Here is a 12,747-nt window from a genome sequence, read left to right on the forward strand (position 1 = left end):
GAAGAGGTTGACAACTATTTGTAAGTGACCAAGTGCTCTACAAGAGGGAGGGGTTATCAGAGCAGGGCGAGGCTGACCTGCTGGTCCAGATGGACACTGGATCGGGGACCTTGGCCTCTTTGGAACCCTCCTTCAGGGCAGCAAGCTGAGTAACCTGGATATTCTCTTACACGCAGCATTTTAAAGTGACCGCTCCAGCCAGGCACGGTGGCTCACGCCTGTAATCCCAGCACTTTGGGAGGCTGAGGCGGGCGGATAATTTGAGGCTAGGAGTTTGAGACCAGCCTGGGCAACATGATGAAACCCTGTTTCTACAAAAAATATAAAACAATTAGCTGGGCATGGTCTCAGTTACTTGGGGAGCTGAGGTGGGAGGATCACTTGAGCCCAGGAGGTAGAGATGGCAGTGAGCCATCATGGCGCCACTGCACTCCAGCCTGGGCTACAGAGCAAGACTCTGTCTCTAAATAAATAAATAAATAAATAAAGTGACTGCTCCCAAGTACAGAAGGTGCTGAAACTTTGGGATTCACTATCTGCCTTCCCCAAACCCCCTCGTATTGCTGCCACTGCCTGCTGGAGCCACCTTCCTCCTGGGATGAAGGGATAAGACTGTCTTTAGAGTAAACATCACTTCTCCTCCCACGTAAGTGCCACCATCCTGAAACTACAGGGACGTCCCATGGGGGAATGGAAGAGATGTGGCAGGAGATTAAGCCTGTTTCCAAGAGGAAAGAAAGAAAGAAAATGGGGACAACAGAGCAGGAGAGACAAGGCACTGCTGAGAAGCAGTGATGGCTCCCACCTCAGCTTGGCTCCCCGACTGGCGTGTGTGTCCTGGATCTGGGGCTCTGGGACTGGTGGGCTTCACTGTCACCCAAGTCAGTGGGTTTTCTTGGGCCAGTGACTTCACCCAGCATCCAGGATGCCAGTGCTGATGCCCACCCCGACATGCAGCCTGGATGGAGAGGTCACCGGGAGGATGAGCATTTTCCAGGCAGCCGTGTGCTCTAAGCGGCTTGAATCAAGCCAGGACTGCCCGTCACAAGAGTGACCCCGAAGAACATTCTAGCTCTGGGATTCCAATTCCTAACTTGGGACACTGATGCCTAAAGAGGTCCTTATTTCAGCCCCTAGGAGGCCATTTGGTAATTTGTGGAGGTAGTTTTGGTTGTTACAAGGATGGAGGTGGGGGTGCTCCTGGCATTGTAGTAGTAGGGAGGTGGCATTAGGGGTGGTGGTCCTCCTGCAACGCCAGGAACATGAAGGAAGAGAGTCTTGCATGCCACATGATCTCTGGGACTTCACACATATAAAAGGCAAGCTTATATTCCCGGGCTGAGATCCCAACTCTCTCTTGTATAAACACGGCTTTAAAACAGACTGAATTTTCCGTGCAGTAAATCCACTGGGTAAATTAAGGAAAAATTGATTTACCCATCGTTTTATCAGGAGTCATTCACTATTTTGGAAAATTGCATCACCAAGGCGACGCTGCTCATGGCATTTGAGCCAAAACAACACACCTGTGTCAGTCTCTGCTTCTGATGCTGTTGTGTTTGCTGTGATTCTATGCTTAGGCGCAAACATCTGATCATTCCAGTGCAGTCGTGTCTGAGCACTGATATGTTAAATTACAGGCTTTTGAAATTATAAGTTACTTTTATGAGGTCCCCTTCATTTTATAGTTAATGGCATTATATTAGATTTTAAAAATATGAAGTGCGAGTAGCACTTCTAACTGGATCCATGAATTAGCATCCAGTTAGTAAAGACATTTAAACTGCTATCCATGAATTAGCATCCAGTTAGTAAAGACATTTAAAAATATGTGTTAAGAAATGGGGGTGCTGGCCGGGCATGGTGGCTCACTCCTGTAATCCCAGCGCTTTGGGAGGCCGAGACGGGCGGATCACCTGAGGTCAGGAGTTCAGGACCAGCCTGGCCAACATGGCGAAACGCTGTCTCTACTAAAAATACAAAAATTAGCCAGGCGTGGTGGCACATGCCTATAATCCCAGCTACTCGGGAGGCTGAGGCAGGAGAATTGCTGGAACCCGGGAGGCGGAGGTTGCAGTGAGCCGAGATCATACCACTGCACTCCAGCATGGGTGACAAAGCGAGACTCTGTCTCAAAAAAAAAAAAAAAACAAAAAAACAAAAACAAAAACAAAAAGAAATGGGGGTGCTTTGAGTCCAAGCCATTGAGCAAGGAGGACACACACTATGATTAAATATCACTCATCCTTAGAACTGCTCACCTAAGTGGGTTTCACAGAGCCCTGTACTTGCTCTAAGCCACCTTCTCTAGACCTTGTTTCTCCTCTGAAGCAGGTTTTTTGGCCGCTTTCGGGCAAACCACCTCATCACGGTCACAGTTGAGATGGGTGACTAGTGGGAGGGCCGCAAGGGATGAGGGAAGCTGAGAGCTTGGATGCAGCCTCCTGAGCTGGGAAAATAGGTCTGCAGGGGCAGGACTCCATGGCAGGCCGACTTGTCCCTCCCTCTTCCTTGGGGAAACAAAGGCAGGACATTGCTTCCTGAGATGGCGTTTGGAGAGGAGCCCCTTGGTGCTTGGTGACACGAGGGCTCCCGTGAAGTCCTCCACATCACACCCAAGCCTAGAGTTCTGCACCAATCCTCGTGTCCCAGACTGTCGGCTGGGGGAGAGGATCAAACGAACTCCCTGGAGGGGAAGGACCCAGCTCCCAGTTCTGGAAGAGAGGGTGCACTGGGATCCTCTGGGGGACGTCTCCACATCGCATACAGAGATTCAGACTCCTGGAGTTCTGGGGGTGTGGCTGAAATAGAGCCCCTCAGAACTCTGATACTCACCCCTCCATGCCCACCTGATGCCCAGTTGAGAATTGCAATCAAGTGCATGGATATTAGATACGGCTGGGATTCAGCTGCCCATGGGAAGGGGACTCTGCTTATATAAAGTAAGACAGAGCTCCCATTCCACACTGGTGCTGCTCTTCTCAGGAGAGGGAGCACTGAGGGACAGGGAGCACTGAGGGACAGGGAGGGTGGTAGAGGATTGGGAGGCAGAGGTGGTGCTTGGGGGCAGCCTTTCGGGAGGGACACTTCCCAAAGCCTCCTGGCAAATAAGGCCAATGCCTTCCGTTCTGGATCCTACAGCTGCCTTAGGATTTAACTCTATGGCATGAGCTGGACTACTGGGAGACACAGCAAGGCCTCAAGATGCCACCTCCACTGGATGTGCTGCTGGAGGGACCCATGGGCAGTGGCAGCTCCCTGAGGCCCGGGTTCCAGCCTGGGAGGCCTCCTGTGCTAGTTGTGGGTAAACCAGGCTTCAAATCTCCCCCAGCCAGCAGAATCTTGAAGACTAATCCTGGCTACCCACTCTGGAAATGGACATCCAATGCCACAGAGTTCCCCACGCATGCATCTACCTCACTGAGACGTCACACAATGCTGTGTGTATTCGGTCCAAGACTTTTGGTCTTCCTCCTCCTGGGGATGAGGACCAAAGGTGCAGGGAGGACTCCAGGCTGTCCCCAGGGAATGTACCGAGGAAAAAAGGAGTAGGTTGGAGGGAAGGGGCTTAAAGGGAGGCCAGTGACCCTGGTTTCCCCTCTGCCCAGGGACTTGTGATGGAGCCCCTGTCTTACTCCTTGGGGGGCTCTTGGGTCTCACTGGAATTGGCCCCATTTTTGTCCAGGTGTGAGAAGTTAGGAAAACTCTGATGCACTGGCAGGCTGAGGTGGGCTGTGACAGACTGAGGGGCCATCAAAGGGCAGTTTGGGAGGAAGGTGCATGCCAAGCAGTGCCTCAAACACGTTAAGCACACTCCTACCTGAGGACTCTGCACAGGATCTTCTCTCTACCTGGAGTGCCCATCCCCTCTCCCACCCCCTAGAAAGCTGCCAGACTCCCTCCCTCCCTTCCTCCAGGCATTTAATTAATTAATTATGAGATGGAGTCTCACTCTGTGGTCCAGGCTGGAGTGCAGTGGTGCGATCTCGGCTCACTGCAACCTCTGTCTCCCGGGTTCAAGCTATTCTCCTGGCTTAGCCTCCCAAGTAGCTGGGATTACAGGCACCCACCATCATGCCTGGCTAATTTTGTATTTTTAGTGGAGATGGGGTTTCACCATGTTGGCAGGTTGGTTTCGAACTCCTGACCTCAGGTGATCTGCTCGTCTCAGCCTCCCAAAGTGCTGGGATTATAGGCGTGAGCCACCTTGCCTGGCGGTATTTAAATGTTGCCTTCCTAGTGAGACCTGCCCTAGCCTCCCTATTTAAAAGTTCTCAATATTTCTGATCCCATCCTTCCCTGCTTTTTTTTGTTCCTTTTTTTTTGAGACGCAGTCTTGCTCTCGCTCTTTTGCCTAGGCTGAAGTGTAGTGGCGCAATCTCAGCTCACTGCAACCTCTGCCTCCCGGGTCCAAGTGATTCTCCTGCCTCAGCCGCCTGAGTAGCTGCGACTACAGGCATGTGCCATCACGCCCAGCTAATCCCTTTCCTGCTTTCTTTATCTCCTTTACATATATCCCTAACAGACGGTCATGCATCGCTTAATGACGGGGACACATTCTGTGAAATGCATCATTAGGCAATTCAGTGATTGTGGGAACATCATAGAGTGCACTTACACAAACCTGGATGGGAGAGCCTACTCCACACCTAGGCTATACGGTGTAGCCTAATGCCTCCAGGCTACAAACCTGTACAGCATGTGACTGTACGGAATGCTGCAGGCAACTGTAACACAATTGTAAGGATCTGTGTATCCAAACATATCTAAACATGGAAAAGGTACAGTAACAATACAGTTTTATAATCTAATGGGATCCCTGATACATAAGCGGCCCTTTGATGACTGAGACATCATTATGCACCTGTAGCACATGACCTCATTACATATTTATATATTTATCTTATTTACCACCAGTCCTCCCCACTATACTGTGAGCTCCCCAATGGCAGGGGATTTGTTGATTTCATTCATTGCTCTACCCTAGAGCTTAGGACAGTGCCTGACACACAGTAGGTCCTCAATGAACATTTGTTAAATGAGTGAATGCAGGGGTCTGGGGAGCTACCTTAACCCAGGCCCCCAGATTGTGGGGGGCGGAATGTTCCTGAAGATCTCTAAGTGCTCTGAGGACACTTTGGGGTTCTTGGGGAAAGGGTTGGGAAATCTTGGCCTGGATTTTTTGGTGGCCTCAGACTGAGCCTCCCTCTGGGTATACCTAGACCCACCCTGGCAGCACTGGGGGCTGTAACGTCAGTGCCAGACCTAAGATGCAAATGGAAGGGGGACAGAGAAACTTCTCTCTGTGTTTAATCTCCTGACCCATTATTCTCTGACTGCCTGGCCCAGCTGCTGATTTTCTCCCCATAGAAGGAGCTAGCATCACCCACTCTGTTGCCAGCTTTCCACCTGCAGAGAATTGAAAACATTAATCTGGCAAACACAGAGGGCTGGTACCCAGTTCTTTAAGTTCTAGTCCCAGCTCCCACATAATCCCAGCAAGACTGCGGTTTTTAGGAACCGGGGCCAGTTCTAGACTTTGATTCCCTTCTACTCCTTCAGAATTTTACGCATCCTGGACTGGCTGCAATGAGGAGAAAGCTGATTTAAGCTAAGGGTTGCCCAGGGCTCAGCTCTTCCCTCCTGTCTTCCAAGGGTTTTTGCAGAGCCACACACCCCAGGGTGCCACGCACACACGCCTCCCACTTGCTAGGCAACCTCAGGAAGGGCAGCCTCCACTCCGAGCCTCCGTCTTCTCACTTGTGAAACATAGATTGCAAAAATGCAAGTAAGTTTCCTGGAGGATTATAGGGGATAAAGATGAGAAGACACACTGTCTGCTACCATGATGATTAATTCGCTCTGGGTTTTGTGACAAGAGAAGCATCCTAGAAGCTATGCCCTGTGGCCTCTTGTGAATGTAATTTTAAGTGAAGATCAAGGGGGCCGTCAAGTGGTTATGCAAAAACAGGTATCTGAGACAGCCCAGGTTGGCTTCTGGGCTATGAGGCTGAGTCTCAGTAGACGCACATGCACACACACAAGCATGCACACACACACACACACACACACACACACCCCTGTGGAGCTTACCTGTCCACCTGGATTCCCATATCTTTCATCTCTGCCTTGGCAGGTGCCCCTCCCTTGACCCCTCTGCTCCCACTGGTGAGAAGGCTCAGCACAGGCTCTATCTCCTTGAGCAGTTCATTGTTCTCCCCTCTGCCTTGGAGGCTGACTCTGGTTGCTTTCTTCGCGGGGTCCTGGCCTGGGGGCCTGGGGGCCAGGCCGTTGGCATGGGGGAGTGAGCCAGCCTCCTGCCCATCATCGTAGGCATGCTGAGGCCCATTCCCGGGACCCGAGGCCCCATCCACTGCCAGGGGCTGTTCTTTGCCGGCCGGTGGCTGGTGGGACAGATCCACGGCTTTGGTGGGGGGACCCAGGGGCTGTGTCACCCGGATGGTCTTGGGGGTCCCATCACCTGTAAAGGTGGTCTCCAGGTGCGTGGTGAAACCTTCAGGGCCCCTCAGAATGAGGACCACGTGGGTCTCAGAGGCAATGCCTCTGAGTACCTCCAGGGCGCTGTCATAGCTCAGGTCCACCAAGGGCCGGCCGTTGACCGCAAGAATGATGTCTCCGGCCTGGATGAGGCCACTCTGCTCTGCGGCGCCCCCACGAATCAGGTCAGAGATGATCACGGGCGGCTTACTGACCCGCTCCTTCACCAGAAATCCCAGGCCCCCAACTTTGCGCTTGAAGAGACGAACAGAAATGACATTGGGCTGGATTTGCTGAACACCGAACATGTGATCCTCCATGGTAACTAGCTTCCGAGGGGTCCTGTCTGAAGACCTCACAATGCTATCAGGCCAAGATGATTTCACCAGGAGGATCCAGGCTTCAGGCTACACGGAGAGCAGGAGCCGGGGTGACAGGTGCTGACAAGGCTTCAGCCCTCTCTGTCTTTGACGTCAGCTCAGCGTCACCCACTCATGGCTGGTGGCCCGTCGGTGGCATGATTTCCTGCATCCGCCTCTCTCCTTATTCTCTAAGGAAGTGATGGTTGACCAGGCAGACGTCAAGAGAGGCGGTGGGACGTGTCCCTAAGGTCAGGCAGAAAGGGGAGGAGATGCGTCTGATGGCTGTGTCTAGAAGTGACGCATGATAGATGTGAACTATTCTCTGGGTATCTTCATTGCCAGCCTGTTAGATGCGGATCAGATCTGAGGCATCATGAGCTGAAGAGGAAGAACAGGAGGGGATGAAAAGAATTTAAAAAAAGAGATTGAAGTAGAGTGCCCAACACCACCTTGAAAACTGAGATAGAAAATGCAGCCAATTGACAAAGTCTAGACACAAGACACTCCAGAATTTCAAGCCAACCTAGAAACAAAATCCTTCTTCCTGGAGGGGGCACCTTTCAAGGTTAGCTGCAAATTACCTAGTTTCACTTCCATGATCAAAGCCCTCTGGGACAAAAGGGTCTCCCTGGGCAAACATGGACAGTCAGCCCCAGAAATCAAGTGACGAGAATCAAAAGACCTCTCTTATCTCTTTCCCACCACGAGAGGTCATCAGTCCAACTTGTCAAGCATTCTAGTTGCTCTCTGTGTCTTGTATACATTTTCCATCCATAGCTCGGGGGCTCAGCTGGCACAGATTTTTGGGCTCTCTGTTCCAGCCACTCCCAAAGCCCAGTGGAACGGGAATGACACTGCCTTCCATGTACACAATGATGACGAATGTCAGTTGGCCTTCATAACCATTTTTGTAATTATTAGCTTGTTCCATGTTCAAAAGGATAGGCTTAGTCACACTACAAACATAAATACTAAGAAGATGGGTCCACACAAAATTGTGGAAGACACTTGTGCTCCACAGACAGCTGAAACTCTGATGGAGAAGGGGAAACATAGGAACATTGTAGGCACTCAATGAACATTCGTTGACTGAAGAAGGAAAAATCCCAAAGACTAAACACGGCAGACACTTTTTGAGCACGTTCGCTCTTAACACATATTTGTTATTTCTCCTTTGATCCTCACGATAACCCCTCAAGAGAAGAGGAAAGGGAAGCTTGGGAAGGTTCAGTAACTTGTCCAAGGTCACATAGAGAATAATGGCAGGGGGAGGATTTGACCTGGAGCCTGAGCTTTTAAACTTATACTCTAGCTCTTTCAAATTTATATTATAGTACAGGTATGGTGGCTCACACCTGTAATCTCAGCAGTTTGGGAGGCTGAGGTGGGAGGATCGCATTAGCCCAGGAGTTTGAGACCAGCCTGGGCAACATAGCAAGACCCTTTCTCTATTTATTTAAAAAAAAAATCAGGCCGGTCACAGTGCCTCACACCTATAATCCCAGCACTTTGGGAGGCCAAGGCGGGCGGATCACCTGAGGTCAGGAGTTTGGGACCAGCCTGGCCAACATGGTGAAACTTCGTCTCTACTAAAAATACAAAAATTAGCCGGGTGTGGTGGCGGGTGCCTGTAATCCCAGCTACTCAGGAGGCTGAGGCACAAGAATCGCTTGAACCAAGGAGGCGGAGGTTGCAGTGAGCTGAGATTACGCCATTGCGCTCCAGCCTGGGCAACAGAGTGAAACTCTGTCTCCCCTGCCCCCCGCCAAAATCAAATTTATATTCTAGTTATTTTCTTAACTCCTAACTTTCTCCCTGAAATGCTGGAATCTTGCAAGTCACTGACTCTCTCAGGCTCAAAGAAATGGGGTCTGGTTGGGGTACCAAAGGCCAATGGGGGCCCAGCTGGAGATGCTGTGGCCCAGGTGAGGGGCAAGCACCTGTAGCATGTGCCCACGGGGCCGTGTACATGCACAGTGTGGCACATCTGGGATGGGGCAGGTGATCTGTGGGTGTGGGTAGGGTGGGAAGTAGCCGCCCGTCCCTACTTGTAATTATTAGTTTGTTGCAAGTTCAAAAAGATAGGTTTGGTCACACTACAAACATCAATACCAGCAAGATGGGTAGGAGACATCAGAGAACCCTTCCATCTCTTTCCCTGCTCCCCACTCAAGTGCTACTTCCATCTCTGTCCCAAAGCCCCTTCCTGCCAGCAACCTCACCATGCTTCAGCACCAGGAGGGAGCCCCCATCTGCCATGACTAACAAACTGACACTCACTTCCTCATTTCCCTTTTAGCGACTTCCCAGGGTCACCCCAGGGCTGAGGCAGCTGACAAGCTCCTGCTGCCTCTGAGAGCAGAAGGTGGGTGCAGAGACCCCTCCCAGAGGGAGGTGCCACCTCCTGGATCCCCTCAATGGGGGGGTGTGTGGGGGGGATAATTAGCAAGTTCAGCCTCCCCTTTGCAGCCTGCATTACGTAACTCTGTCAGCCCCTCTGTGTGGGTGAGGAAATAATGAATCCCCGGGCTCAGCCTGGGCTGCGTTCTCCATCTGGCGTTGCTCTGTGTGTGTGTTTCTGTGTATTCATGCGTCGCCCGCGTGCTGTGTCATTTCTCTGCTGTGTGTGGCCCGGGTGTCAACCGGCTGAGTGTCTTTCGGCATCTTGCTGCTGGGTTCTGGTTTGCAGGGAAACCCATCCAGGACCGCTGTGCCCTTCTCTCTCCTTGCTTCCTTAACCCTCCCCAAGCCCCATGTCCTGCAGGTACCAAACCCAGGATGCTCACTGTTCAGTTGGTGGCAGAGACAGCCGGGACCTCCAGAGCTCTCTTGAGCATCCCGTTTGGCATTAAGGCTTAATTCTTTAATGAAAGAAGCAACTGAAAGGCGACCTCTTGGGGAGGCAAGGCCCCCAAGCTGACTTCCTCCAGACTCTGGCTTGGGCCAGACCTTACTAAAGGACAGAGGCGGGAATTAGCCTTTGGTGTACTTTGCTTAAGGAAAAAAGAAAACAGAAATGAAGCAATTGGCAACAGCCCCTGGCCACTCTCAGCACGTTCTTCTCTCTTTCTCTGCTGCATCCTAGAATCAGGGAGGGCTCTGGGCTGGTGCTTGGGAAATTGGTGTGCTGTTTCTCTCTCACACCTTGGCTGTAGAAAGGAAACTTGATCTTTGGAAGGAGTTGGAAGGAAGCTGGGCTGGGGAGAGGCAGATATATTTTCTGTCTGCTGAGAGACAGAGACAGAGAGGGAGGGAGACAGCAAGCTCTGGGTCTGAGCTCTGTCAATTAGCTTCTTTTTTTTTTAGACAGAGTCTCACTCTGTCGCCCAGGCTGGAATGCAGTGGTGCGATCTCAGCTCACTGCAACCTCCACCTCCTGGAATCAAACAATTCTCTAGCCTCAGCCTCCCGAGTAGCTGGGATTACGGCTCCCGCCACCACACCTGGCTAATTTTGTATTTTTAGTAGAGATAGGGTTTTGCCATGTTGGACAGGCTGGTCTCGAACTCCTGACCTCAAGTGATCCGCCTGCCTCAGCCTCCCAAAGTGCTGGGATTACAGGCGTGAGCCATTGCACCTGGCCGTCAATCATTATCTTAATAACAATTCCACAACACTTTCTCTGCCTCCTTTTCCTCCTGCAAAACATCCTCATCTATCCTATTTTTCATCCTTGTCCTGACCAACATCAGGTTCGGCTGTCCCCCAACTTTACAGATGAATAAATTAAGCTGCTATAAGGACACCCGCTTGTCCCGGTTTTTGAATGTCCAGTTTCCATGAGGCTCCGTAGGGAGAGCTGGCCGCCTCCTGCCCCAGGGAAGAGTTTTAAGGTCCTTCCTGGCTCTATCCGGGTGTTTCTGGGTGAGTTGTTTATTTTCTCTAAACCTCAGTTCCAAAATGCGGTCATTTGTAATCACCTCGTCTCTGAGTAACGGGGAGGGTTAAATGAAACAGTAAATGCAGAGAACTTGGCAATGTCATACAGTAGTGAGAACTCAGAAAAGTGGCTTCCTATTATTGTTATGTAATAGATAACGATTCGGACTTCCTGGCTTTTAATTCAGTGCACTTTCTACTCTGTCACTGTCCAGCCAAAGGTACTTCAGGCGCCATGTAGAAGGGGGCCCTTCCCTTGAAATCACACCGAGGCATCTCACGCCGGTCTGGGTGGGGGGCACCGTCTAGGGAGAGACGGCTGCTGGATAGAATTGCCTGAGAGCCCTGCCTCCGCCCTCAGGAGCTGGGATTTTAAACAAATCACATATGCATGCTTGCCAGGGTACATACCATGGAAACAATACTTGGACCCAAGCCTCATTCAAGTAGTTCAGTGGCTTCGGGTGTATTTATTGCATTTACCTTGCTGTGAGGAAATTAGTAGCTGACTATCGGGGATGGCTGCCAATGAGAGGGAGGAAGCCCAAATAGGCCAGCGTCTGCTACTCCCTCCTCTCTGTGCGACCTTGGCCAAGTCCCTCTCCACCCTGAACCTCATTTCTGCAACAGAAGGAAAGGTAACAGCAGCAGCCTCCTGTGGTTGAGAGCTTACTGTGCACTAAGCATTGGTGCCTGAGCCCTCTGCATAGGGGTTTTATTTAATTGTTACAGACTATATGAGAGAGAGAGAGAGAGAGAGAGAGAGAGAGAGAGAGAGAGACAGGGTCTTGATATCTTGCCCAGGCTGGTCTCAAACTCTGTGCCTCAAGTGATCCTCTTGCCTTAGTCTCCCGAGTAGCTAGGACTACAGGTGCATGCCACTACACCAAGCTAGTTGTTTTTATATTTGTAGAGACAGAGTCTCACTATGTTCTCGAACTCCTGGGCTCAAGTGACCCTCCTGCCTCAGCCTCCTGAGTTGCTGTGTCTACAGGCATGAGCCTCCATGCTGGGCCTTGTAAGCGCCATTTTTATCTGCACCTTACGGATGGATAAGGCAGATGAGGTTCAGGGACATAAATCAAGGAGGTAGACCTGGGTCTAAGTGAGTGGTCAATCACAGTCCTGAAAATAATCTCACAACACTATGCCTCCCTCCTTTTCCTCCACAAAGCACATCCTCGCCTGTGGATCTGGGTCATATTTGATTGCCCCATTTTATAGATGAGAAAACAAAGCTCCCACAGGGAAGCCTGCTTGTCCTGGTTTACCCGTGCTTTCCATTTTTAGCATTGAAAGATGAAGAATGTTAGGATGAAGAGGAGCCACCAAGCCTATCTAGTCTAGCTTCCTCATGCAGAAACGAGAAAACAGAGGCCTGGAGAAGCAAAGGGCTCATTCAACATGGACCAGCCATAGCTGGAGCATCCAGACCTGTGCTGTCCAATATGGCAGCCGCTTGACACACATGGCCATTGAGCACATGGACTGTGGCAGGTTCAGTTGCAATGTGCTGCAAGAGTAAAGTGCACATTGACTTTCAAAGACTAGTATGAGAGGTGATGGGTGCACCAAAATCTCAGAAGTCACCACTAAAGAACTTAGTCATGTAATCAAACACCACCTGTTCCCCAAAAAACCTATTGAAATAAAAAAATTTAAAAAACAAAAAACAAAGACTAGTATGAGAAAAAGAACATAAACATCTCCACGATGTTTACTGATTATATTTGAAATTATGCTGTTATGGATATATTGTGTTAAATAAAATTATTATGAAAGTTAATTTTCCCCATTGCTTTTCACTCTTCTTTCTTTTTTTGTGAGACAGGGTCTCACTCTGTCACCCAGGCTGGAGGGCAGTGGCACAATCTTGGCTCACTGCAGCCTCCACCTCCCAGGCTCAAGTGATCCTCCTACTTCAGCCCCCTGAGTAGCTGGGACTCCAGACACACGCCACCATGCCCAGCTAATTTTTGTATTTTTGTAGAGAAGAGGTTTTGCCATG

General features: G+C 50.5%; 1 protein-coding gene across 2 annotated transcripts in view; it reads right to left on the reverse strand.

Moving 5' to 3' along the window:
• Nucleotides 1-12,747, reverse strand: part of NOS1 (nitric oxide synthase 1) — a 153,485-nt gene that overhangs the window by 116,110 nt on the left and 24,628 nt on the right. For both annotated transcript variants that reach the window (NM_000620.5, NM_001204218.2), the window contains exon 2: nt 6,094-7,238. In NM_000620.5, the coding sequence (NP_000611.1) occupies nt 6,094-6,818 (725 nt within the window). In that variant the 5' untranslated portion in view covers nt 6,819-7,238. The remainder of the gene's footprint in view (nt 1-6,093; nt 7,239-12,747) is intronic.

This window comes from Homo sapiens, chromosome 12 (assembly GCF_000001405.40).
Source record: "Homo sapiens chromosome 12, GRCh38.p14 Primary Assembly".
NCBI classification, from domain to species: domain Eukaryota; kingdom Metazoa; phylum Chordata; class Mammalia; order Primates; family Hominidae; genus Homo; species Homo sapiens.